At 42.1% G+C, this 27848-nt stretch overlaps 1 protein-coding gene and 1 long non-coding RNA gene across 4 annotated transcripts in view; both read left to right on the top strand.

The window, feature by feature from the left end:
• RORA (RAR related orphan receptor A) overlaps window positions 1-27848 on the top strand; it is a 741019-nt gene that overhangs the window by 7311 nt on the left and 705860 nt on the right. The window lies entirely within an intron of this gene.
• Window positions 1-27848, top strand: part of LOC105370841 (uncharacterized) — a 47242-nt gene that overhangs the window by 1316 nt on the left and 18078 nt on the right. Inside the window, exons 2-3 of one of the 2 annotated variants that reach the window (XR_001751772.2) lie at window positions 882-953; window positions 1190-27848. The exon at window positions 1190-27848 is cut by the window's right edge and continues 18078 nt beyond it. This is a non-coding gene — a long non-coding RNA (uncharacterized LOC105370841). Of the gene's footprint in view, window positions 1-881 lie in introns of both variants that reach the window. The other variant, XR_007064661.1, reaches the window with a different exon arrangement.

The following is a 27848-nucleotide window of genomic DNA, read 5'->3' as shown; positions in this document are numbered from 1 at the left end:
TTATGAACTATTTTTTTAGTTTTTTTTTTTTTTTCTTAAAGAGATGGGCTCAAGGGATCCTCCCGCCTCAGGCTTCTTAGTAACTGAGACTACAGGCATGTACTACTGCACCTGGCTTGATTATGAACATCTTAAAGTTTCCTGAAACAATTAGGAAGTTTCTGCATCCACGCACAGACCATAATAGATAAACTCTTCTGGGATGCAAGGAAGGGTGCCACTTAGTATAGGATCCTCAAGCCACTGAAAGAGGCAGTGCAGTGTTAAAAATACCTAGCTTACTTCGGGGGAGGGTTTGGCTGAATACTGATGAAGTTTATGAAATATGAATGTAGTGAAGTTGCTGTACGTAAGTGGTAGGCGTGTGTGAAAGAAGTAAGAAGAAATAAAATTGTGTATAAATGACAGTCTGAAACTTGATGGGATTGTACACGTGATAAGAATGGTGATGTTTAGGTCTGTGCTTAATGGGGGAAAGTAAACGGGCTTAAAATCTATGTCAAACTAGCCACGAGAATAAAAATTATAGAATATAAAATCGTCTGACTTTTTTGTATAAGCAAAGAATGCTACCAAGAATAAACAGGCAAGAATAGAGGTGAAATAGAATGAGGGGGAAATGAGGGACCATCGTTTGAATCTACTATGAAGTATGGTAATCACTGTTTTAAGAATTCCAGACTATTAACTACTGTGCAGTTAGGAAGGGAATTAGTTGTAGCCAAACAAAAGCCATAAATATGAATTTTAGGTTGTACGGAAGAAATCCTCTTGATCCCAAAACATAAATGCATGTACTGAGAAGCCAAGCTGCACATGGTGTAATTTTTTCTGTCTTATCCTGATTAATTGACAGTCAACTGTATGCTTCTTTCCTGAAGGTGACTTTACAATCTCTAGACCCAGACATTTCTCTCTGAAGTGGAGTGAAGGAAGGAGAACCAGAAGCTAAAGTGTGTTTCACTGGGTGAAGTATTTTGGGGGAAAGATAAGAAGGATGAAATAGGGGAATGGACTAGTGCCTGCAGAGATTAACAATGCCTGTTTGGGGCTGGGGAGTGGGGGCTGTGGATGAAGGCAGGGAGCCTCTAGAGGGAAAAGAGACTTCTGTGCAAAGGAAAATGACATTAGCATTGACTCTGAAATGGCTGGGAATGTGACTTTCTAATTTTAAATTATCTTTAACAAGGGCAATGAAAAGAGGAAAAGTTGACACTTTGAGAAGTTATGACGAACTTGTCGAGAATGCCAATTGACAAAGGCAGGTAAGGGAGTACTTGGAAAAACAGCAAGAATAGGTCTGAAGGGCACGGTGAGCTGCTTTCCTAGGGTGTAAAGGGAATTGGCAGCCGTGTTTATTGACTCTTCCAATTAATTTTAAAGAAACCTGAAGAAATGGACAAAGACAGAGAAAAGGCAACCAGATGTGATTCCGCCCTTCCAGAAGCAAAGAGGCTTATTTCATCCCATATGATCGATGCCAGTCATGGGGAGGAGTGGCTGTGTGGAAATTAATGGATTTTCAACATCCAATCACAGAGGACACACATGTATATTTAGCAAGTCTAAAACCTCTTAAATAAACTGCATTGCTTTTCATTTTCACTTTCCAGTTATAAAACCAGTGGATGATGAAAAGGCCATGTGACAATACAGCATGTACTCTCAGGAATGTTTGTGTGACGGGGATATTATATCTGAAGGGACAGGGCAACTGGGAGGGTGAACTGCTCATAACTCTCAATTGTCCAGGTAATGAAGCATTGGGAAAGCAAAGGCAAATGAAATAACCTGATCATCAAAAAATGATTCCTCTTTTAGTGCTCTTATTAGTTGACTGATGATGACAAGTGTGAAATTGCCAGAGTTGTATTTTACCATTTCTGGCACTCATCACGTGCTTTGGATGAGCACATGTGTGCAGAAAGTGGGAACCCGGGCAATTTCTATAGACCAGGCTGTTAACCTGCAAGCTGTAAAATTTCACAGTGTGAAGGATGACAGTCAAGGATTGGTGAGGTTCCCTAGCATTCTTGAGGACTCACAGGGAATCAGAAGAAGAACTGAAGCTACACTGAAAGGGCTCTTGAACCCTCTAAAGCTGACTTTTTAGTCTTGAACTTGGGGTTGTATGTTAAATATGTGATACTCACTCATGATGCTACCACTTGGTCGTATTTTATTAGACTAAAGTGTGTTAAAGCCAGAAAGGGCTTTATGAATCAGCGAGCCTAGCCCACCCTATTTGAACTGATGCTGACAAAGGTAACGTGTTCGAGATCACATTCCTAGTAAGCAGCAAGACTGTGACTAGAACCCAAGTCTTGTACTTTCTTACCTCATGTTCCTGTCACTTGTGTGCTGTGCCAGGATCCTCCAAAGTTCGAATAATGAGGATTTTTTTTTTTTTAAATTTTGAGACGGAGTCTTGCTCTGTCGCCCAGGCTGGAGTGCAGTGGCGTGATGTCTGCTCACTGCAAGCTCCGCCTCCTGGGTTCACGCCATTCTCCTGCCTCAGCCTCCCGAATAGCTGGAACAATAGGCGCCAGCCACCGCGCCCAGATGATTTTTTTGTATTTTTAGTAGAGACAGGGTTTCACCGTGTTCGCCAGGTTGGTCTCGATCTCCTGACCTCGTGATCCTCCCGCCTTGGCCTCCCAAAGTGCTGGGATTACAGGCATGAGCCACCACACCCAGCCTAATGAGGCTATTAAGATGTGTGCAAGTTGATCTAGCATTAGGCAGTAGATTATGTACAAAATTAAGCATGGGTTATTTTGGCTATGCATTATTAGTGGAACATTGTCAGTAATTGTTATTTTTTAACCCCACTGGGCATTTTTATTATTAATTAAAAATCCACCAGTGAGCTTGTGGCTATGTCAGTAAAGCCATTCTAAAACATAGTGAAAATAGTGTCCAAGTCTCATGCTCTGATTTAGTGGAAAGTAAAACTATTTTTACTTTCTATTAATAGGTATAGAGTTGAGCATCTCATGCTTAGTGCTCACCAGAGCTAGACACAGCCAGGAGGCCCACAGCAAAGATGTGTGTCTCCGCAGCAAGCTTGTTTTCTCAAAGTAGAGGATTTAAGGCTGTACCTTGTCTAGAGATGCTCAGGATCAAGTCTGTGAATGGAATATTATGTAGCCATTAAAAATCATGTTGCACTAGAAAAGTATTTCTTATCAAGAAAAAGTGTCTATCAGCCATTGCTAAGTGAAAAGTAACAGCTTTCATAGCAGTGTGCATGGAATGCCATCTTTTTTGTAGAAGGAAATTGTGTGTGTGTGTGTGTGTGTGTGTGTGTGTGTGTGAGTTATATTAGTAAATTAACTTGGACCCACGAATACCAAAATGATGAAATGATAAAGTGGTCATCTGTGGATGCTGGGATTACCTGTGAGTTTCTTTTTCTTTGTGCTTTTCTGTATTTTTTGAAGTTCTTACATTATGTATATGTTACTTTTGTAATTAGAAAAAATAAATCATTTTTTCTTCCACAAAAGACTGTGTGTTGTGAAACTTGGGATCCTTTGAAGGAACTGATTCTGAACTTAGTATGTTACACAGAACATCTCAGTGTTTCAGGATGGGTCAAGTTTACCGGGCCAAAGAGAAATACCACTTGACAGGCACATTTAGCCGGTAAAACAAGGGTCATTCAGCTTGAATATTACAGGTCCTAACACTGGAACCGCTTGCCTCTCAGGGCGATATCTTTGAGACATTAATACCGTGATCCACAATGAGAAAAACATATTAATTACATTGTGAACTAGTACACACACACACACACACACACACACACACACAAACATTTCATGTAAAATATTTACCCTTCACTTGTGATGCGTGATTGTGTTTGCTCTATTATTTAAAATACAGATTACGAGCCACCACATTGGTTTCATGATCTATTTATGAGCCACTCCTCACTATTTGAAAACCTTGTCCTGGGCATGAAGTAGAAGCAGCCTTTCTGGGGGACCATGGCCCAGCAGTGGGGGAGGAAGGAAGTGTTTCCACAGTAACTGATGTTAAGCTCCAGGTGTTACTCATTATGACTTCAGGGAGGAGGAGGGGGAGGGAAAATAATGTAAATACTTATTATTTATAATCATACAGTATCTTTATGCCACTTTTAGCACATGCTCATTAATATGCTAGTACATTTAGAGGCACATCTGCCTAGACTGGCTTAGAATATAAATTCTGGGATCCCTCTTTTGCTTGGAGCTGACATCAGTGTGTAAGAGCCCAAGGGTGGCATTCTTTCATTCAACATATATTTACTGAGTACTTTCTATGTGCTAGGGCCTGGGGATAAAGCAGCAAACAAGAGAGGCGAGCTCCCTGCCTTTCTGGATCTTATATTTGAGTGGTGGCATTTCTCTTAAGAAGCTCACTGAAATACCTGGGTCACCTCAGACCAGGCATTTATGGTGGTTCTCTTCTAAATGTGTTTTGAACTTGGCCTTTTCATCTCTCTACCTTGTATGTGCCTTCACCTTTCCCCTCCTCCTCTGCCTCACCTAGTCCCCATCTCTCTCTCTGCTCATTGAAATCCTACCATCATTTTCACTCCAGATAAGATCCACCTTCTCCCTCTTGAAGCTCCCAGACTCCTGTTTGTTACAGCAGTCAGTCATATGGGCCTTGCTCATTTAGTGAACATGTAACCTCTTCCTCTGCCAGGCCTCTTTTACGCTGTCTGATAGTTATTTTCCAGGTATGAGCCTAGTCTTAAGGAGATCAAGACCACAGTTTATGTTTTTACTCCATGCACGATACCTTGCATAAAATAGGTGCCCATTAAGCATGCAGATACTCTCTTCCACATTGTCCTGCAGAGGTGTTTGCCTTCTCAGTACACCAGCTAGGCACTTCCCAACTCTGCAGGCACATCTCCTGCTGTCTTATATTTCCAATGGGGCCTTCGGTTTGGACTCAGCTGCACTTGTTTGTGTGACTTCTGCCTCTCTTGAATCCACTGATCCCCTCAATTGCACGATCAGGCCTACTCTAGTCTTGAGCAACTCAGACCAAAGCTGGACGTGTTGGGAGACAATATGTGTATGTGGTTTTTACAAGCCTGCTGGGAGGAGTGAGACAGACCTGGGCCAAGACCCAGGTGTGTGCTGTGCTAGCCGTGTGACCTTAGGTAAATTCATTAATCCCTCAGTTCAGCTACCATGGGCTGGATCCAATTAAAAGAGGACAAATCACTGAAATTCAGCCCCATCAGCCACTTGTTGAGCTTTCCTGACGTTACCTCCCATACCTGTCTGGCTTCTTCCTTCCCTTTTCCCTGTCTCCCTGCTCCCACTATTCTTGTACTGCCCTCTGGCTGCCCCATCCAGGCACTGAGGCTGGGGTTGCTACCTTATTCCCACCTTGCCCTGGTGCTCTCAGAGACTTCACTTTTCACCAACCCATCATTCCTTGCCCTCCCTTCCCTTTACTCACTTTCTCCTTTCTGCCAAAAAAAAAAATCACATCGGAGAAGCTTGTCTGCAAGGGTTCCATTCAACTTGCTGTACATTAATGCTCCACTATGGTGACCCACTGCTGAGTCTTTCACTTGTAATGTAATCTAATAATTTACATGCACTTTGCAAGCAATACTCTAAAAGACTCGCAACCTGTTTGAAATTGCTCTGCTGTTACAGTATTTGAGCTGATGAGAGAACAGCGTGAGAAAGAGTAGTTTTTGGTACCACAGTGGTATTAGGTAAACCCAGGAAAATAATGTCAGCACAAGGTGAGGGTGTGCTGATGGATTATAATATCCTTTCTTAGAGAATCAATTAAACTTGCTTAGGGTCTTTTATCGATTTTGGCTTATAACTGGACTAGGATAGGTCAAAGTATTCAAGGAGTAGAGGCATAGCTGGCTAAAAATAGTGAAGCAAGTATGGAATCCTGTCTTTCTGAGATGGCTGTGAAATGTTTTAGTTTTGATATACTGCATGACTTTTACAGAATTAATTGGCATTGTGATTAGGTTGTTTTATTTCTTCACTCAAACATGTTGGAAGCCGATTCTAATATGCGGTAGTAATGAAAATAGAGTAATGCTGTAATAATAGTGCCATTGTAAAGTGAATTACACCATTAAGCATCTATTTTGTCTAATTTGTATTGTGGTAGTGTGAGTGATACACACACATGCAGACGTAGAGGAGCTGGTCTTTAAGAAATAGACTCTAGCTGAGAAGAGAAACCCCAGTCCTATAATATTGAACAGTCAGTGAACAAAAATAATTGGTTCTGTGCAAAGTGAATTTATTTATACATATACATATATATACACAGCCACATATATAAATATACACACACATGCACACATACATATTGTGTCAGGCAGATCAAGAAGATATATGACTTTGGCATAAAAAAATGCTTGGCTTATGTTGCCTTTTAACAAGTTGATTATGAATGGGGACACATATTAATTATGACAAGTCAAGTCAATGATGGCATCAATGCCAGGCTTTGAAAACAAGGCTTTCTACGTTTGTTTCAACCTCTTCATCCTTATTACCATGTCTGAGAACCCCTATTAACTGGTATTTCTCAAGTTTTGGAAAGAAGTATTAAGGGCCCAGGAATGATCATTTTATTTTGTCATTTATCTCCTAAGGAAGGACATTTGTCAAACAATTTTCTTTCCACAGCAGAAAGATAGAGGCACATTTCTATGCCTTAAGTCACACATGAACCCTAAGAGCAGAAATAGGACCTGAGAAGGCAGTGTCCAACATGGCTGCTCCCAGTGGGACAGGTAGATTTAAAAGTACAAGAAGGGCCAGGCGCGGTGGCTCACACCTGTAATCCCAGCACTTTGGGAGGCTGAGGCGGGCGGATCACGAGGTCATGAGTTCGAGACCATCCTGGCTAACACGGTGAAACCCCATATCTACCTAAAATACAAAAAAAAAAAAAAAAAAAAAAAAATTAGCTGGGCGTGGTGGCGGGCGCCTGTAGTCCCAGCTACTCGGGAGGCTGAGGCAGGAGAATGGCATGAACCCAGGAGGCGGAGCTTACAGTGAGCCGAGATCGTGCCACTGCACTCCAGCCTGGGGACACAGCAAGACTCCGTCTCAAAAAAAAAAAAAAAAAAAAGTCCAAGAAGGTGTTAAACTTTGATGACATTCCAGTGACATTATCCCTTCGCCCACAAGAGGACTGGCTTCAGGGGATAGTTTGGCAGTAATTGTCCAGGAGTTTTCAACCGTTAGGGTGGTATGGGCAGGGAGGTCCTGAAAACTTTTACCTGGTCCATCTCCAGTCTGGATTGCTGCCTCCAAGGCCCCCTCTCTGCATTCTGCCACCACAGCATCTAGAAGGGGTTATACTGATGGCCTCCCATCTCTCACCTGCCCCCGCTTTTGGATTTTGCTTCTGTGGCATTGCCAACACCACCATCTGGTAATCTAGAACCTCAGAAAGACTTGTCCATAGAGATGAGATTGTATGTAGTTTAGAATACCTTTAACTTTCGTATATATAATGCTTGCTCTGATGATCAATATATTGAAAGCGAATTTGCTTCATAAGCCACTGTTCACTCCCTGTCTTTGAAATCAACAACGTAAGTTTTAAACCCCGCAAGGATTTAAGGAGATAGTAGACAGTATCAATGCCTGGCATCTGAATTAAGAATATATTTAGTGGAGAAGTTTTAATACAAACCTCAATGAAAAAGCATCAATATCATATTCAGCCTAATAAAATGTTTTAATGAAAATTGTCATGGCGTTTGACAACATCTCTTTATTAATTGGTCTTTTCCATTATTATTTTCTTAGTAGCAAACACACTCTGGTTTTAGCTCTCATTAGTTATAGTCCTCATTGGATTCACATTTTGCGACTTCAGCTGTGTTTATCTTCTCATTGGTCTCAGTTCCTTGGGAGCCAGGTTATAGATTGTCTTCAGTGTTCTGTCCCATATCTCTCTGCCTTTTACATGAGCATTCGGTGAATGCCCTCAGGATGCTAGTGACGTGCAGTTTAGAATCAATATGTGAAAGATGAGCCAGCTGAGGGAGGACTGGGATGAAGCAAGAAAATCTATTCCTCGAAAGTTTCAAATGTTTAAGGGCAGTATAATAGAATATATCGCCTCCTTGCATTGATCCATCAAATATTCTTGTGCACTTACTATGTGTCAGGTCCCATGTTAGTCAATGGAACGACAAAGCTGAATTAAGTGAATTGATGGGCAAGAAAGACATTACTTTAAAAAGATGTAGCATGCTATAGTAGAGATACTTAGGAAACCTATAACATAGAGAAGAAGGAGAAAATGCCCCGAGAGGAGTTAGGGAAAGCTCACTGAGGTGGTTATGCCTGCCCGGGTTTTAGAAAAATGAGGAGATTCTTTTGGCAAAAAGTGACAGGGCATTCCAGGCTGAGGCACCCAAGGGGAGAGTTCATGGCACATTCAGGTAACATAAGTGAGATGTAGCTTGGCCTGAGAGTATGCTGGTGAGGAGTAGGAGATAAGGTTGGAGAAAGTAGGCAGGGGCGAGCCTAAGCATTTCGGACCTTGTCTTATAGCAAAATTTTGAACAAATGAAAAATACCTGATTTCTTTTTGGTAAGGTACTTAAATATACTTATGTGGAGTTAGGGAGGGAGACAAGGAACCAAGTTAGGAGATTCTGTAATAATTCTGGTGACTGATATTGAAGGCCAAGACTGGGGTGAGGGTTGGGAGTGGAAGGCGAAGAAGAGTTGACTCTGCGGTAGGATTCCCCAGGAAGTGGAGTTGGAAGAACATGATGGAGGGAATGGCAGGAGTCAAGTGCAGAGTGTGGGCCGGGATTATTGGCTGGGACAGTGTAGTGGAGTAGAGTGTGAAGAGGAGAGAAGGCATGGGTTCAATTTGGGATGGGCTGAGTTGGAAGTTCCAGGGACATATCTGATGGGCAGCGGGGAATGGGGGTCTAGCAGGGAGCAGGTGACAATATGTTACATGTGGCATTAGGCAAGAAAACAAAAAAATAGCAATAGCAAGTATCTGGCACTTAGGAGGGCCAGGCTAGAGAGCTGGAGTCCTAACTCTGAGCAGCACTCTTGATAGAGGATTAGAAGGTGAATTTTTACATCTATGAGGTGATGTTCATGGATTTTGAAATGATATCAGCAGAAAATAAATCTAAGGTCTAAGTGGGTGTGGTTGGGAAATTGAAGGGCTTGGATTGGTACGATGACAAAGAAAAGTCTCTCACAAAAGTGGATTGGGACTTGGAGACCCTACATCTACATAAGGTGTAAAAAAGTAAGAATGGGCCTGGCATGGTGGCTCACGCCTGTAATCCCAGCACTTTGGGAGGCTGAGGTGGGTGGATCACCTGAGGTCAGGAGTTCAAGACCACCCTGGCCAATATGGTGAAACCCTTTCTCTACTAAAAATACAAAAATTAGCCAGGTGTGCACTTGTAATCCCAGCTACTTGGGAGGCTGAGGCAGGAGAATCACCCGAACCTGGGAGGCAGAGGTTGCAGGGAGCTGAGATTGCGCCATTGCACTCCAGCCTGGGCGACAGAGTGAGACTCCGTCCCAAAAAATAAATAAGTAAAAATAAAGTCAGAACGTTTGTAAGCCCAGAGTCAGGTTTTAGACCCTTTGCTGTTTCGGGTTGCATTTCACTTTTCTCTGCTTTGATGGTGCTCTCCCAACATGCCTAACTGATGATTGAAGTGTTGCAGCCTTTTTTTTTTAAAACAAACAAACAAACAACCCTTTCTACACAGACAGCATTGAGTTGTCCTGTCTCTAAAGGCAATCTGCCCCACACTTGGCAGAACCTTAAGGGTGGGAGAAATGGAATGAATAGTAGCTGTGGATAGGTCTCCTTATTGCCCTGGGAGGAAGACTTCGTAGGAGAGGAAGTTGAAAGAGGGTCTTGAGAAAGGGGGTGAGATCTTCAAAGGCTGGGTCTAGCCATGGGAAACTAAGTGAAAGAATTTTTTTTTAAGTTGATCAGGAAGAGAAAAAGAAATGCACCAAGTGTTTGGCCAGGCGGATGCTGACCTTGGTTATGACTGGGTGGGATTGCCATTGCTGCAAGTTGATGGCACTTAACAGTTTTCTAGGGACTTTCACATACGCAGCAGCCCCTGGAAGTCCTGGAAGGAGGTTGATGATGTTGCAGCCCATCGAGGGACCAGAAAAATGTTGTGTAATTATGAAGACCTGTTGCCTTAAAACAATTCGGATCCAAATAGGCTGACTTTATCTTCAACTCAAGTAGTGTGGCGGGAGGGGGCTCTGCCCTGTTGGAAAGGCATCCCTCTGCCCTCTGTGGCCATCACTGAGCTCCCTGTTGTTTTCGGTGAGCTCTGACTAGATGTTTTCCCTGTCAATATTTCACTAATGTGTCATATGAATTATTTGTGTTATCTCTGTGCTGTGAAATTAGAGGCCTTCACCCACAGTGTGGTAAGTAGATTAAAAGGAAAGCCTGTTTTTTATGGTGTGGGCGAAACTGGGAAAATATCAGGGAAATATTTTGTGTGTGTTTGATCTGACAGTGGGAAGGCCTTGGGATGCCAGTGTCTTCTAAAACCTGAAAGCTGAGCTCCGGCTGGAGTTTTCTTCAAAGGGGTTTATATTTTATCTGTTGGCACTTCTGAGCGGAAGGAAGGTTTGGAATGGGAGATTCTGTGATGATCCTTTTTTTTTTTTTTTTTTTGCTGTTGTTTTCTTCTCTGTCTTTTTAACTTTGCAGAAAGCCCTTCCAGTTATACACTCAGACCCTGTTCAGGACGTTGGTGGCCAAACAGTCCCCTTTTGTTAAGCGAGCGTCCCATTTTTGTTTCTCTTGAAAGGTGCCCTCCAGGACAGCAGAGCCTTTCTTTGGGCTGTTTATAATTGAGCCCTGAAGAAAAACAGAAATCATTCTAAACCCAGGCCAAGTGCCTCCTTGGCCTAGCTAGGCAAAGCTAAACTCACACAAGATGAAATCTAACCAGCTGGTTACCTGAGAACCACCTTCGGGAGTTCTCCGGCTTGACTGCTTTCGCCTTGGCCACCATCTCGAGCTCCAGCGACAGCTGAGGGTCAGGGCCTCTCTGTGCAGAAGAGTAGGAAGAGAATCATAGCTGTTGGTGAAGGTTAGGTTGCATTGTTTGAAAGGGTCCTATGTCAGCTTGCAAAATGCTATGGATCTGTAAGAATCCTGAAAGAAATGGGTTGGAGAAGAAATTTATGACCGTAAGTCTAGTTGTCTTTGAGTGGTGCAATTTAGCCAGGAATTTTTCCTCTTTGCGGCTCAAGGTTTCAAAAAGTTCCCTTTTAAAAAATGCGTGTGTATCTATTTTTTTCTTAGTTTACATAAAAGGGTATTCATAGCTTTAGCCCACCTTGACATACTTCTGTCCTTTCTCTTTTTGCCTTTTTCTTTACACAAATTAGGAGTCATTTGAGAAAATGAGGCATATATAGGATTTGATAAGTTAGAGGTTGTGCAGTTTCGAATTATTTTATTTTATTCTGTTATAATAGGTATGGGGGTAACCTTCAGGAATCGAAATGGAATCTTTTTTCCCTGTTCTCAAATTATCTAGTTTAGGTCTTAGACTCGCCTTATTGCCTATAAGTACAGCCTTCAGTTTTGGAATTTTTCTTTCCATTTTAGGTATCAGCTGGGTCATTTAGATGGAATAGGAAACAGTACTGGGCATTGTCAGAGAAAGACTGGCTATAAAAGTTCTGATCCCTGTGGGCAGTTTGGAGTCTTCTTAAGTGTAAGATCATCAGTATACTTCAATTCTGAGCTTCTGCACATGCTGGTTAGTGAAGCTCTGCCCTTCCTTGTTAACTGCACATTTTAACATCTATGTTTCTAGAGGAGACACCTGCCTCTTGAGGGAACCCTCAGCATCCCGGGAGCATCTGTCCAACTGGCCCCTGTACACACAGAGACCTGAAAAGTGAAGCAGTTTCGAGACAGGCATCACTTTAAGGCTGAAGTACATTTTAGAAAGTTAGGGACTGGTTCTGTGGCGGGGAAGTTGAGCTAAATATGCAGTTCTATTTTAATTTTCACTTTATGCCAAGGCAAAAGCATTGGGAGATAGACTATAAATGTATAAGTAAGTCAGTGCAAGAATAGCCCCTTGCAAAATGCAGATTTAGGGAGGCTAAATATTTTCTCACATACTTTAATGCACATGAATAACCCCTGATCGAGTTCCTGAGAAAGGGATGTTGTGTAACCATTTGACCTTGATCACTGTAATGAGTTATACAGAGGTCTGCACAACTGTACAAAAGTAAAGTATTTGGCTGTCTTAGTTAGCTCAGGCTGCTATAACAAAACACCATCAACTGGGTGGCTTAAACAACAGACATTTATTTTCTCACATTTCTAGAGGCCCCACCTTCTAATACCATCACACTGAGGATTAGCGCTTTAACATGTAAATTTTATGGGGACACAAACATTCATTTCATAACATAGGTTGATGCCTAAAGCATACTAATAATTTACAGGGTGGTTGGTTTGTCTCTAAAAAGTTAAAATTTTTTAGCTTTGTCATTTGTTTGTTTCAACAGAGTTGTATTTTCCTATGTGTATTTTATCTTAGGCATGGTCACCTCTCTTCCTATTCCTGTACTGTTTGAAATCACAGTAGTGAAACCCAAGGTAATTAAGGCTGGGGTATCATTGTTTTAAATTAGAGTGTGTGAATTTTTTTTTTTTTTTGTAATTCAACAACAAGTTCCTTCATATTGTGCATAATTGGATCACATTTTAATTTTGTGGCAAATAAAGATCTATTTTACATTTCTATTAGAAAGACAAGCCCCTGTGGCGAGCTCTGAATTAGGATGTTGGCCATTAGAAGTACTGAAGCAGTGAGGCTTTTAGAGCTGATTCAGCTTCTGAAAAACTCATCTGTGAATCTTTAGGGTAAGGAAAGAACCTTCAATTTAAAGCTTATAAACAGCCATGGATTTTACCTAAAAACAAATACTGAGAAGACAAGAAAACGAAAAATATAAGTACTAACGCAAGCAGAGAATAACCAAATCATGGGTTATCCAGTATGATATATACCACAAAAACATTCTGGTCATTGAATCAGGCACATCTGTTTGTGAGGATATTTTATTATCTTTATGGTTAATGCCCTGAGTGTTTATGTGAAGCAAAATAATGAAGACAAATTGTGAAGAATACACTGGACAAGTAACCAGGAGGCCTCGGTTCTGATCCCAGCCCACCATTAATTATGTAAGTGGCTCTGGGCAAATGGCTTTCACCCTGAGACCTCACCTTCTCCTTAGTACAGAGAGGCACTGAACTACAGCTTCCTGCCAGCTCTGATATTCTATAATCCTGTGATTTTTAAAGGAACCACCAAAGAATATACTTCTTTATTCATTCCAACTTTAAAAAAATTATTATTGAAGCATAATTTACTTACCATTACATTCACCCATCTTAAGTATACAATTCAATAATTTTTAGTAAATTTATAGAGTTGTACAACCACCACCACAGTCTAGTTCAACATTTCCATCAGCCCCAGAAGATCCACATGCCCGTTTGCTGTTACTCCTCCTTCCTAGCCCTAGTCTAAGACAGCCATTAATCTGTTTTCTCTATATATAGATTTTCCTTTTCTGGACATTTCATTTAAGTGGAATCATATACTATGTGTTCTTCTGTGTCTGCCTCCTTTCACTTAGCATTGTGTTTTGGGGGTTTGTCTATGTCATAAAATGGATCAGTACCTTGGTCCTTTATGTTGCTGAATAATCTTCCATTATGTGGATGTATCACATTTTGTTTATTCATTCATCAACTGATAGACTCCTTTCTCTTCCTTTCCTACCCTTGGAGCGCTTCCCCTCCTCTTGCCTACCCCCATACTGGGAAAAAACAGGTCTCTCTTAGAGAAATGCGAGGTCTTTATTTCAGGCCTTCCCTTGCAGAAGAGGCCGGAGCTTTGTGTTTTAAACCCTTCCAAGTCAGTAGATTGAGCTGGCTGGGTCATTGAAAATGTGATTAAGCAGCTATGTAGTAACTATCAGTAATGTGAAAGCACTAGCTGTAGGTACTTTTCCTTGCTATGTGATTAATATGAATGTAAGGTTTCTGCGTTAGGGAACTTGACTCAAGCTTTCCCAATGACAGCCTGTTTGTTGTTTTGCATTTATTTTACACATTGGATGAAGTATTTGGAAGCAAGAGTTAAGGACACTGGCTGTTAACCTAACTTAGTAATGTCACTTTCAGGATTTTTCTCTGGAAGTCATCAGAATTATCATGAACAATAACAAACCCACAGAGGGAAACAGCCTCATACTTTGCTTTTCAGCTCGGAATCACGAAGACTGCCAAATGTAATTGTGATGAAAAGGTAGATGTGATGAGAAGAGGACTGAGCTAAGTCTTGGGGCTGTTGATTTCTTTAAAGAGAAACCATAGAGAAGACAACTCTAATGTATTAATGTGTGTTGTTCTTTTCATGTTGTGAGTGAAACCACGATGTGCACTTCCATTTGCTGAGCTTCTAGCTAATGGAGGGTAGCAAGTCAGTATTCTGGATGCTCCTCAAATGATTCTCTCATTTAAAACCTAGCTCTGGAAATGTGGTTAATCTGTAGTATGTTTTGAGCCTCAGCTGTTCTTAGGTCCATTTAACTTCCTGGAATCCATCCTTGGCTAGCACGTCCTGTAGGATGAAGGAGAAAGTCTATTCCATTTGCCTTTCTCATCTTCACATGTGTGGTAAATATGTTTTGTAGGCTTTCTCTATTATAAATTTCAGAAAGGTTGGGCCCAACAAGTAGTATGTGTGTGTGTGCATGTGTGTATATATGCATGTGTGTGTGTGTATATATGTATACATATGTGTCTATATGCATACATATATATATATACACACACGTATACACAGACACATATTCTTCTAACTGCATAGTGGGATGAGGCCTACGAAAGCCAGCAGCTTGCCTCAGTTTTATTTAGCATGCTAATTATAAACAGTATCAGTAATATCTTTTGGAATTTAGGCGTTAGACTGTTCCCACTGGTGGAAGTGATCCTTTAGAGCATCACACCCTGCCTCTTGGGTCCTGCGAAAGCTTTGCCTTTGTTGAATCCATATGGTAGGATTCTTGTGGAGAAAGATAAGCCAGGCCATTGTTTAGTAAACATCAGACCCTCCCGTGTGCTGAGCCTGAGATCTGGCAACTGGGCAGAGAGGGCTGCTGAGGGCTGTGTGCTGCCGGGCTGGAGGATGAGCAAACTGCATCCAGGTGTGATCACATCCTTATCCTTTTCTCCCACAGCTTTAAAGTGGTGAAATTTTTCTTCTCTCCATCGGGAAGGAAATAGGAAAAAAATGCCATATCTTGTTTGGTGGTCGGGGTGAAGGGCGGGATGGTCAGCATCCTCTTTTATTTGGGCCTATATTATGGTATTATCATAGTTGATTATTGCTAGGATGATTTATGTAGGAGTCTCTGGCTAAGTTATGAGATCCTTGAGAACAGGGATGTCGTGGGGTTGTCCACGTGTTTCCCAGGGTTTTTAACACAGTGCTTTGCATACAGCAAGTCCTCAGCTATTGTTTTATAAGTAGCTGATGAATAAATACTTTCCATTCAACAAACAGTATTTGTGAATATGCTAGTGTTCACAATAATGCCTGACGCTTGCTGGGTGGCCATGATATAGAAATAAGAATTTCTTCCTTCCTCTCTCCCTCCCTTCCTTCTGCAATAATCAGTTCTTATATTCACCAGGCACTGCACTAGGGGCTGAGGTTACAAAGATTAAATAAAGTATTATCTGCATCCTCAATGAGTTAATAAGAATGTTATCCTAGAGTTCGGTATGTGATGTGATAGTGGTTCACAATAGTTAGGAGCTCTTATTGATAGCTTAATCTGCTCTAGGTTCTGAACACACTGGGCTCAGTCCTTAAAATTCTCACTGCGTCTTTAGGAAGCAAGAATTATGAACCCCATGTTGCAGATTAGAGGACCGAGGCCTAGAAGAGTTGCTGAGTCTGAGTCCAGAAGGTTGCTCTCGACCATGGCTCGTGCCTCCTACCATACCACCAACCCCAGGTCCCCATCCCCTTCCCCTGACTGCATTAAATGTGTCTCCGTAACAGCCCCAGCACCCTGGCTTCCCTTTTCATCTGTGTGTGTGCCCTTCTCCATGTGTGGAGGTGGGAGGTAGCAAGCAGCCTAAGCAAATGGAGCTCCTTGGAGTTGTGCAGTGTTCAGCCAAGTCAGCTGACCACAGCTGCCCCTAGAGATTGTTTTTCTACTTTCTCTTGCCCTCTGGCTGTTCCTGTGCCAGCTCCTTCACTCTTCTGGTTGCAGGTTTTCCTTTCATTCCTTAGGTATCCTGTTGCCCTTCCTAGGCCTGAGACGGATGTGCTAGAGAACTCCGTGAGATTTTACTCTCTTCCTCACTGTCTTAGCTGACTTCCGGCTGACTAGACAAAGCGAAACTCTGATCTTGCTGGAGGAATTCCTGCGTGCAATCCTGACAAGTAACTTTAACCAATTGTTGAGAACAACCTGCGACTGTGGCTTGGCAGAGGCGTGTGCTGTGTACTGTGAATACGAAAGATGCAGAGTTTATGACACGGCAGGACCCTTGAACGCAAGGTGGACATATCCTCAGAATTGCCCCCCACCCTCGCCAGCTCTACCGGTGCTTTGCAGCTCTAACAAGAGCTGCTAACAGAGAAGTTGCTGAAGTTGGCATTGGCTGAGGAATGGCTTTATTCAGCCAGGCTCTGTGGGCTTGCTGCCCCTTTCTGGATGCTGTCCACACAAGAAAAGCCATAATTATTACCATGGACTCTTCTCTGGCTCACTGCTTTTATAAGAAGGGGAAAAAACTCAAACTTCAGAAGAGTTAGAAAGCCTTGTCTGGGCCCACATATGACACGTTGATATTTTGGGGCAGGATTTGGCCCAGCGTAGGCCAAACACGAGAACAGCAATGGTGCCGACCAGCACATTGAAGTTTTTAGATTGAAAAGCCTGAACAGAATGTTCGGCTGGAGCTGGGGACATATTCCTTTCCTATTTTATCTCTTCCATAAGCCTCAGGGCTGATTGGAAAATACACCCACTGCAGGATTTGGATAGCCAGGATTTTATGTTTATTTCTTAGACCTGTTCACGCACAGTCTCAATTTCTCTTGCTCGCTCTCTCTTGCGCATACTTTTTGGGTGGAAGTCTGAAAGCTGCATGTCATAATACCAGTGAGGAAGTGCTCTTTTCCCTTATGGAACAGTGCTCACTTTTCTGACATGGACACTGGGACCAAAGTGGATTTTTGGAAATGCAAATCTCATATCTCATGTTCTTGCTTAAAACCCTACATTGGATTCCGGTTGCTCATAGAATATAATTCAAACCCTCTAACCTGGCCTCAGGTGTCCCCTGTCCAGCCTTCCAGACTCATCTTTCATCTGTCCTTCCCCTACTCACATACGTGCTCGCCTTTGTAGCCATACTGAACTTTGGTCCTCCAACATGCTCTGCATTCTCACCTCCATGTGCTTTCCCTTATACCTGTGTTGATTTATCTGCTCTGATTTATCCACTCATTGATTGCCATTACAATCGATTTATCCACTCATTCATTTAATAAGCATTTATGCAGCACCTCCTAAGTGCCAGTTACTGTTCTGAATCCTGGGGATACATTCGTGTGAAGACAGACGAGGGTCCTGCTGTCATGGAGTTCACAGTCCTCACTTGCTAATTCCCACCCATCTGGTGAGTCTCAGCTTGGATCTCCCTCTTCCAAGAAGCTATCCTTGACTTCTCTCCTCTGGATTTGACATCATTCCTTTGCCCTCTAGAGCACCTGTATTTTCTGCATTACAGCGCTCACAACTCACCTGAATTCACAGTGTTGAGCTCCTTGAAAGCAGAAACGTTCCTTGCCCAGGCTGGCACATAGTGGGTACTCAGTCTGTTGAAGGAATGAAGGAAGGATGCATTTGACACTAAGCAGCCTCAGTGAAAAAATAGGTACTCTCTGCAAACATTTTGAACAAAACTCATTCTCCACATTGTCAACGGCTTGGCAGTGGCCTTTGACCAGTAGGAGGCATCTAATGTTGCGGATGATAAGTTTGCTGTCAGTCATATTGTTGTTCCTTTGCAGGTAATTTGTCTTCCTGGTTGCTTTTAAGATTTTCTCTTTCTTTGGTGTTCTGCAGGGTCACTATGATATGTTTAAGCATGGATCTATTTATTTATTCTGCTCAAGACTTGTGCTTGTTCATTGTGAAGACTCATGTTTTCCTTTAATTCTAGAATGTTCGTGGACACTTTTGTCTTTTCTTAATCTTTTTTTCTGAAGCTTCTGTTGGATATATGAGTGATCTACTCATTTTATCCCGTTTCACTTCTTTTATATCTTTTATCTCCTTTTCTGTCTGTCTCATGTTTCAGGCAGTTTCCTTGGTTCTTTCAGAATGGTTCACTCATTCTATCTACTCTGCTGTTTAAACTGCCTATTGAAATTCCTAAATGGTAGTTTAATATACATGAAGTGATGATGGTTTTACATGGGAAAACACTCATGAAACCATCACTCAGATCAAGACAGAGAACATTTCTAGCTCCCCTGAAAGCCCCTCTGAGGCAATATCCTCCCAAAGCTAGATGCTTTTCTGTCTTCCATCATCATAGATTAGTTTTGCCTCTTATTGAATTTCACATAAATGGAAACATGCCAAATGTGTTCTTTTGTGTCATGTCCTTTGTGTAATTTTAAGTGACTATGTTTGTCTGTCCTTTCTAGAATTTTTTAAAACTTGCCTATTTTTTGGTCATAGTATTCTGTTCCTTCATTATGTTTTCTATATCTTCTTCTTTAAAACTTCTTAAAAATATTCAGACTTGCTTGTTTTATATTAATACTAGTCAATTATGTCAAGTACTTAAGGTATACTAATTTCTGTTATTTGTATCTTACGTATAGTGAACTTGTTCCTTATATGATTGTAATTTTTGACTGTAAAATCATCTTCAGCAGAAATTATTTTTCTCACTGAGTACTGTGTTTCTTGGGTTGTACAAGTGTCTCTATCCTGCAACACAGGGTAGTGGAAATTCAGAGCCTAAATACGTTTGCATATTCCATAGGTTTAGGATTTCAGCTTCTCATATGGGCCTACTTTTTTTTGTTTGTTTGTTTGTTTTTGTTTTTTCTACCTGGAATTCCAGGTAGATGGCAAGTTCCTTTTTTACTTCCTTGGGCAAGGGGTAGAGTTTTTCTAGTCTTTCTTACATGAAGGGGTTTGTTTTTCAAGGGTACTCTTAAAATAGGCATCTGAATTCTAGCTTCTGGCCAAGCGAGGCTGCAAGATCTCATCTCCTGCTCCTATGAGGTTGTTAGCACCACAGGCCCTACCCTCCTAGGGTATGTGTAGATGAAGGTGAGTGCCCCTGACCCAGGCCAGCATTGCATCATCTGTACGTTTCTTCTTATTCTTTTTGCTTTGATTCTAGCCTCTGTGTTCCACTCTAAGTTTTTGCATCTGGTAAGTTTGTGTAAAAGGTTATTGAGGCCCAGACCTACTGAATTTAAACCTCTAGAAGAAGGACCCAAAAACCTTATGTTTTTAAGAAATGCTGCAGGTAACTATTAAGATCAAGTAGGGTTGGGCCGGGAGCAGTGTCTCATGCCTGTAATCCCAGCACTGTGGGAGGCTGAGGCAGGCGGATCACGAGGCCAGGAGTTTGAGACCAGCCTGATGAACATGGTGAAACCCCATCTCTACTAAAAATACAAAAAAAAATTAGCTGGGCATGGTGGTGCGCACCTGTAATCCCAGCAACTTGGGAGGCTAAGGCAGGAGAATCGCTTGAACCTGGGAGGCGGAGGTTGCAATAAGCTGAGATCGCACCACTGCACTCCAGCCTCGGCAACAGAGTGAGACTCCGTCTCAAAAAAAAAAAAAAAAGATCAAGCAGGGTTGATAAATATTAAAAGTTTGAGAAATAGAAATATCATATTACATATATAGATATTACATCGAATCTAATAGTCAGTTCGATTTCGCTTGTAATGTTATGAGGAACTAATTTGTTCTTTGTGTTTTCCATTATCTTACCTCTAATATCATACCCTTGCAAAAGTAAGCATGGAAATGTCTAATCTGGATATTCAGGAAAAAATGTATTGGTCTCATTCTATTTTGAGTTAAATTAATCTTTCCTAACCTATGGTTGGAGAAGGCCCTATGAGACAGTGTTTCACTGGTTTCTGTCTCTGTGTTTCATCAGAAAAATAGTGATAACCAAGTGGTGTGAAAACTTCTGAAGAACAATAGAAAAAAAATTACTAAGCACTTTAGTTAATTCAGAAATATTTCCTGGAAAAATTTGAGTTAATGTGCAATGTTTGAAAAACCTTGTGCAGTTAAGTGCCCACGAGACTGAATCTGACTCGAGGCAAATCACCCAATTACTGTCAGGGAATGAAATCATGTTTACAGAGAAACCTTCAGACTCTCCTCCTGTTTCATATCTTCACCTGTTTTTGCTTAGAGCATGATTGTGTTGCTTTTGGGACCTGGTTCCAGGTTTATGTCTTAGTGGTTTGTTTGACCTGACTCCCCTAACCCAGGCCTCTCCAACAAATGGCTACCTTGGGATACAAGAAACTGCGTGTAATTCTTTCCCTTTATTTTGAGTGAGGAGCAGGTTCATGGGTGTGCCAGCAAATGCACAGAGACTTTGACATTCACAGCATTTGATAAGATTGGTCAGCCTGGCCTGACTTTGCTTGGGTACCTGGGACTGTGAACAGCTAGCTACCCATTCTTTGGGTTTGTGTGTGGAGCTTCCAAGAAATGCCTTAACTTTCCAAATAAAAACCTGAATATAATTCAAAGGATGGCATGAAAGATAATAATTGTTGTGCAGCCTAATTTAGGAAAAGTCATTTATTTGCCACTCTGTTGCTGTGGAAAAATATGTAGTCTTCTGCATTTGTTAAAACAAGTCGGCTTCCGCTTTCTGGTCTCAAAACACACTTTGCATTTTTTTTTCCCTGGGACCGTCAATTTAATTCAGGAATGATCTAATTATGAGAAAGTGAATCCAGTCCTCTGGATGATAAGTGTTGACTACCCTGGGAGAAGCCCTGGCAGATGGTTAGTTCAGAGTGAATCTACCTTGGGATTGGGGCATTAGACTGACAGCTTTTTTCACTCAATTAAGTGCAACAACTGCCAAAAGGACAGCATTGAACTTGATGCAAATCACGGCCGTCTCCGATGTTGATAAAGTTTAAGCCTGTGCCCTCCTGAGTCAGCCAAACTTCTTAGAGTGTTTCAAGGTGCCACAATTGTGAACAAAACCCCAAACCTAGTGAGGCACAGGGAAGACTAGGAGAGCCCTCCTTTAAAATGTAGGTATTTATTTCCTTTTCCAGGTCAGTTGCTTTATTTAGGGCCTCTATTTTGGTGTCTTGTCTGTCAGTGATTCATTTGGTATCTCCTGCAGTTTGCTTTTGCTCTGGGCCCCGATGGATCCTGCGGTGACTCTATGTTCCAGAAAGTTAATTTATTGCCCTTTTATTTGGGGTACAACATGACACCACTCTGCATGCCTTTGCCTGCCCTGGATGGCCTCTCAACACCCTGAAAGGCAGGGTCCAAAAAGGAGCGAGAGCTTCTCAGTGTGCCTGCACGTCCCTACTCGTGAAGCCCCATATAGCTTTCTAGGCCATTCCTCAGAAAGTCAGTTGATGCCAGAAACGAAGCAGAATGACTCTTTTCCCGACTCTCCTGTCAAGGTGGAGCTCTGATAGACCCCAGTCCTTACCACAACTTTGATTTCTCTGTGTCTCTTTCTGTTCCCCAAGGAGTTTCCTCATGTCACCCCTGACTTACTGCTCTAATTCTGTGTTGACCAAGGTCAGGACCCATTAAGATGTTTCTGAAGAGTGTAACAAGAAAGGGCACCCTGCAAAACAAGGTCTTGGAGAAGGGTCCTTGAGACAGACTCTTGCTTCACCTGTCCCAGGCCTTTCTCACCCTCCACCCTTCACCCAGGTGTATCCCAGTCCCCGACAGCACGGCACAGCTCGTTCTGTGTTGTTATTTCTGTTTTACAAGCCTGGGGAATCCTGAAATTCCTCAGTCAGGTATATGCCATTGTCAGCCTGTTATCAGTTTCCTGATTTACTGTGTAAGCAGTTTTGATAATCCTTGTCATATGTGATTACATTTCCCCCCCTTCCCATAACATCTCAGTGTAATTGGTTTGATAAACTAGACCTCAGTCCAGTAGTTTGCTTGCAATATATTTTCACCTTCTATCTGTGTGACTAAGATGGTTTTGAATGGCTTTGCATGGAGAAAATCAGGCTTTGAGCACCAGGTCCTTAGTTTCGGAAACAAATCACCCAGGGCAGGCAGCACAGGTCTGGGAGAGCTGGGAATCCCAGTTAAGCCTCAGGAGTCAAAACGGGATTTTTCTTTCTTTCCCTGCTTGGGCCGAGAGTAGTGTGTGTTTCTTTGTGTGGGTTTTTTGGGATACAGAGAATATTTATCTTGTACATCTGTATCTGATTCCTGGGGCCATTGGACTAACTTCTTGTCCATAAAAAATTGGATTCGTTCGTGTATTCATTTATTGAATATCTGCTTTGTTCCAGGAGTCCATGAGGAAAAGAAGCTTTATTTTTTTCTCATTTTTTTTTCCCTTTCTTTCCTGCCCCTATTGGCACTGCTCCCGAGAGCAGAGAAGGAATAATCAGTATGCTTTGAAAATGAGGCATTTTTGGTAAATTAAGCATTTGGGTTAATTTAGGGTTAAATTAAAATGCAAAAGCTACTTGGGGCCATCACTTGCTAACTTTTCTTTGTCTGATAATTCAGCACCTAACAGAGTTCTAAGGCTTCGCAGAGAAGGCAGTTTTAGAATTGAGATGGGAAGAATGAATAAGATTTAGAAAAGGAGAGATGGGCTAGCAGGTGGTGAGAGAAGGGCCTTCCTGCTCCTAGGAGGGAAGAGCCTCAGCAAAGGCAGGAAGGCTGGAAAGCCTGGGTAAGGAGAATGGACAGGGCTGCTGGCGGGTGAGTGAAAGAAGGAGGAGTTAAGGGAAATCATAGGAATTAGTATGGAGAGTAAGCCTCTTGATTACTGGGCTCTGGAATTTGAATTTAAGTTTACAGGCAGTCGGGAGCCCTCTGAGGTTTTTGAGTTGGGGGTGGCATCAGCTGAACTACACTTCCAGAAAATAAATAGGTATCAGTATATATAGTAGTTGTCTTTTTTTTTTTTTTTGAGAGAATATAATGCAGGCCAAAGCTTTATCTCTACTCAAATAAATAATTATTTCAAAGAAATATCGTTTTAGAATTGAACATTTTTGGGTAATACTTCTTTCCAGGACATGAATTTTCCTACAGTCGTCCTTGAAAATTTCTGTTCAGTCTAGTTTCAAAGGATGGAAGCTGCGTACCTTTTGTTGGCATATCCTCCTAGTACAATTCTGCGGCTGGTATTGCTCATTCCCGAACATCCATGATGAGAATGTTTAGCAAATGCAGATGTGGATATGACAAAGATGAGAATGTGGGTAAATCATCAGCACTCAAGTCTCCTAGATCTAGGTTATCTTCCTAGATCTAAATTTAAAGTGGGATTGGAAGATGTTACAATGGTTTATTTTACACGAGCCAGACCCACTCTTTTAAAAGAACCTGGCTGTCTGCTTATACCTAGACTGCTGCTCTCTTTATTTAACATTTTGGTATTTTGCTCATCATGGATTGTTTGCATCCATATCAATTTTTTTAAATTTGCACTAAAATGTTATTTATCTAGATGGCTGAGTTGTTTGGGATCCCCTTAAATCCTGCGCCTGAGATGAGCGTCTCACTTGCTTCCTCTAGTCTGGCCCTGTTGCGTTTATAAAACAGAGTGGAAAATCTTTCAAATGCTCTGAGTCATTTGAGCATCTCTTCGAGTCTACTCACATCCTTGTGGAATATGTCCCTGATACCACACAAAACAAGCAGCAGCCAAAGCAGTACCACTCTCCAGCCTCCCTTGAACCCCCTGGGAGGGATCTTCCCTTCAGCGTGTGGTGGTGGGCTCTTCCCTGGTTATACCCTCTCCCTAAGGCATTGAGATGTGCATGGAGAGACACCTGAGAAGTGGGAACCTCCTCGTTGTGCTTGACTTCACCAGGTCTTTTTGGATGGGATCCAGGACAAACCTGTTTCGTAATGAGTTCGTCTGGGTAGGAGGTAGGAGGATTGGAAACATGGCCCATGGGATTGATATTTTTTGACATCTTGACGGTTCCCAGTGAATGTCCTTCTCTCAGCCTCACCTGACGGAGCCCGGTTTAGAATGAGAGGTTACCTACAGAGTTATTCCTTGTCTGTAGTGAATATAGATCTGCCAATGAAACCAGAGGGAGAAATGAGAGATTTGGAAGGGACCACCAGAGAGTTAACCCTCATCCCTTATTTTCCATCTGGCAAACCTGAGGTGCAGGAAGATGGATGGGCTCCTCGTGAGCCACATGACCGGCGGTGCTTAGAACTCAGGCCGCGGTTCGGCTCTTGGCAGGCTTCTCCACACCATGGGAACGGGGGAGCCCTTGCCTGGAGACGGGATCCACTTTGTTCTCCCTGTAAGGCAACCTGTTATTAAAGTCTCCCCCTGATTCTGGGTTTCAGTGCCTTTCTTTCCAAACTACATTAGGCCCCCTAAGTGCCTTTATTGCCATGTAGGGAGAGGGAAAATGCAGACAGCTTTGTAATTGAACAACCATGCTCTTGTCAGTAGTCATTGTTTTCAAACCAGCTATTACAGGGGGCTAAGGCCCGGGTGTGGCACCGGGAAGTAACGCTGGCCTTCTGCACCTTGCTGCCTGAACAGCTCCCTCATCGGCTTTCCCCTGTGGTCCCTGGGGCAATATGTCTTTAAATTTTTGTTGTTTCCTAAGTTCTGCTCTGGCAAGCAAGCTCTGCCTTAAACCTGCAGAGTTAAATTTACCCAGACTGACAACTGTATATGCAGGGTTTAGTTACATAACAGCAGTTGCTGCTTTTCACATCATGCTAATCCAAACACGGTGCTCAAAGAGATCAGGAAAAAGCAGCCCTCCGTTTGATGCGCTGCACGGGTGACTGGATTATGTGTCTTAAAATTTTTTTAAAACACTGTAACAATTATTCCATTATTCTGACTTTGGTGCCATTAGGTGACTTTTTAAATATCTTAATTATTAGGTAAGCAGATGCTCTGTGCACATGTGCAATTTGTTAATTTATGCTGTTTGAAATGAAATCCAGTTGTTTGAGACATATTTCATAATATTATGGCTAACTGAGTCGTAGTGCTACTGGAATTACAAAGCTGCTAGCAGGGAAAGCGTGTGCGTTAGCCTCATGTACTCTCTGAGAATCACGCAAGTGCTGCTTGTGCAGCTTCTCAGTGCCTCCTGTCTCCTCAGTTTCCTTCTGAGAAGATCATTAGATCTTTGCAACCTGTAATGGGCTTGTGAGGCCAGGCACAGGACCTTCAGAACTGCTGGAATGCTGGAGAAGGAGGCTTTTCCATCCCTAAATAGTCCTGGCTTATCAGGTAAACTGCTGAGCTGCTAAGTTGTCACACGGACTCAGGGGGTCTGAGGATTGGTGATGCAAGCTACTGGTTGATGATAGTCTGATATTGCAGCTATTCAGCATAAGCTGCTACCCAGCTCTTCAAGTTACCCCTAAATATTTATTGAGTAGTTACTGCCTGCAATATTGGATAGATGTGATATAATGGGGCAAAATTACGTAACTTTTGGGGTCAGATCTGGATTTGAATTGTGACCCTTGGTTTACTATTAGGTTGGTGCAAAAGCAATTGTGGGTTTTGCTACTAAAATAGCAGTGAGGCCTTAGGGGCCAAGTCATTTTGTCTCTTTAAGGCTCAATTTCTGCAAAAGGAATAGACATATCTGTCAAGTAGGCTTATTGATCAAGATTATAAAATGACCAACATTGTGCTTTTCACGTACATATTAGGTGCTCAGTAAGTGGTCAGACATTTCGTCCCTTTTGACACTCGTGGGATGTGGCCTCAGGAGCTTACCATCTAGATGAAGAGGCAAAGTGTCAGTAGGCCCTGAGTTAAATAAAGGCACAGAGTAATACGAGAAATGTCACAAATAGGCTGTGACTCATTGACTAGTGAGTGGTATAGACCTAAAATTCAGTGAGTTCAAAGGAGAAGATAGATCACTAGGTAAGCTTCTTATAAATGTGGATCTGACCAGTTTTGGAAGGATGAAAATTTGGACAGGTGGAAAGACTGCTGGGGGTTGTGTGTGGAGAAGGCCGGCAACTGCTTATCAATGGGGTCAATAGTAGGGTCAAAGCACAGAGATGAAGAGGCTGAGGTCCATGTGGAAAACAATGAGAATATGCATTTGTTCTGGGAGTCATGGTTTGTGTGTAATACATAGTGGGATTGATTAGAACTGTAGATCGGAACCCCTCTGTGGAGAACTGTGAATGCCAGGTTAAGGAAATCCTTGCCGTATCTAGTGTGGTTTGGTTTGTTGAAGCATGGAGCTCTGGCTAGACCTGCAGACCTCTGGGAAGAGCGAACCCATGAATGTGGAGTAGACCTCTAGTGGCTGAGAGAGTTACTGCAACCCTTAATGGTATGAATCTTGTTTAATGCATAACTTTCACGAGCTTGGCTGCACTGTATTATATATTGGAAGCTGAATGTAAGTAACATCCATCCTGACAGCAGTAACAGCTGACAACCTAAAATCTTACAGAGTCAGAAGAACTACAGAATGCATTTTTTAAAAAGACCGGGGCTATTTTGGGATAAGGTAAATCCACCTGTATACCTCTTTAGATCCTAAAGACATCACTGTGTCACAAAAAAATCATAATTGGTGATGTTGAAATAACAACATTAACAATATTATTATTATTAACAACAACAGCAACTAAAGGGCTTTTTTTTTTGTTCTGGTGCTATATTAATCATTTTACTTGCATTGACTTAATTCTCACAGCACTTCAATGAGAATGGTACTGCAATTATCTCTATATTACAAGGTGAAAACGCCAGCTTAGAAAGGTTAATTAACTTGCCCAAGGTCACACGATTGGAAAATTATATGACTGGAATACAAACCCAGGCCGTGTGGCTCTACCTGTGTTTTAGAAATCCTCTATACCACCTAATAACCTCCAAGCCTTAGGCCATGATGAAATAAGGTTCAGGAAGCCCTTTTACTGCCACGCTGAAATGTACAATGTTGCATTCAAAAATATGAACCGTGAAAAAATAGACAAATGGCCATTGTCTATGGAATGATGTATGTGGAATACTGCCTTCTCCACCAATATGGTCGAAGTGAGGAAGTGTTACAGCTTTTTTTTTTTTTCCTCCTAGGCTGGAGTGCAGTGGCACAGTCTTAGCTCACTGCAACCTCGACCTCCCGGGTTCAAGCGATTCTCCTGCCTCAGCCTCCCGAGTAGCTGGGATTACAGGCATGCACCACCACTACGCCCGGCTAATTTTTTTGTATTTTTAGTAGAGACAGGGTTTCAACAAGTTGGCCAGGCTCGTCTCAAACTCCTGACCTCATGATCCTCCTGCCTCTGCCTCCCAAAGTGCTGGGATTACAGGCATGAGCCACCGCGCCCGGCCTGTGTTACAGATTTTAAGTAAAAATAAGAAATATGTGATGGCTTGTTCCTACTCTTGGCTTGCACCCCATGTGCATTTTCTTTCTTCTCTGGGAACTTGGAAGGGCACAAGTTCAAATGTCTCTGAAAGGCATT

This window comes from Homo sapiens, chromosome 15, assembly GCF_000001405.40.
Source record: "Homo sapiens chromosome 15, GRCh38.p14 Primary Assembly".
Taxonomy (NCBI): Eukaryota; Metazoa; Chordata; class Mammalia; order Primates; family Hominidae; genus Homo; species Homo sapiens.
Note: the sequence above shows the minus strand (reverse complement) of the source record. Positions and strands in the feature narration are given on the sequence as shown.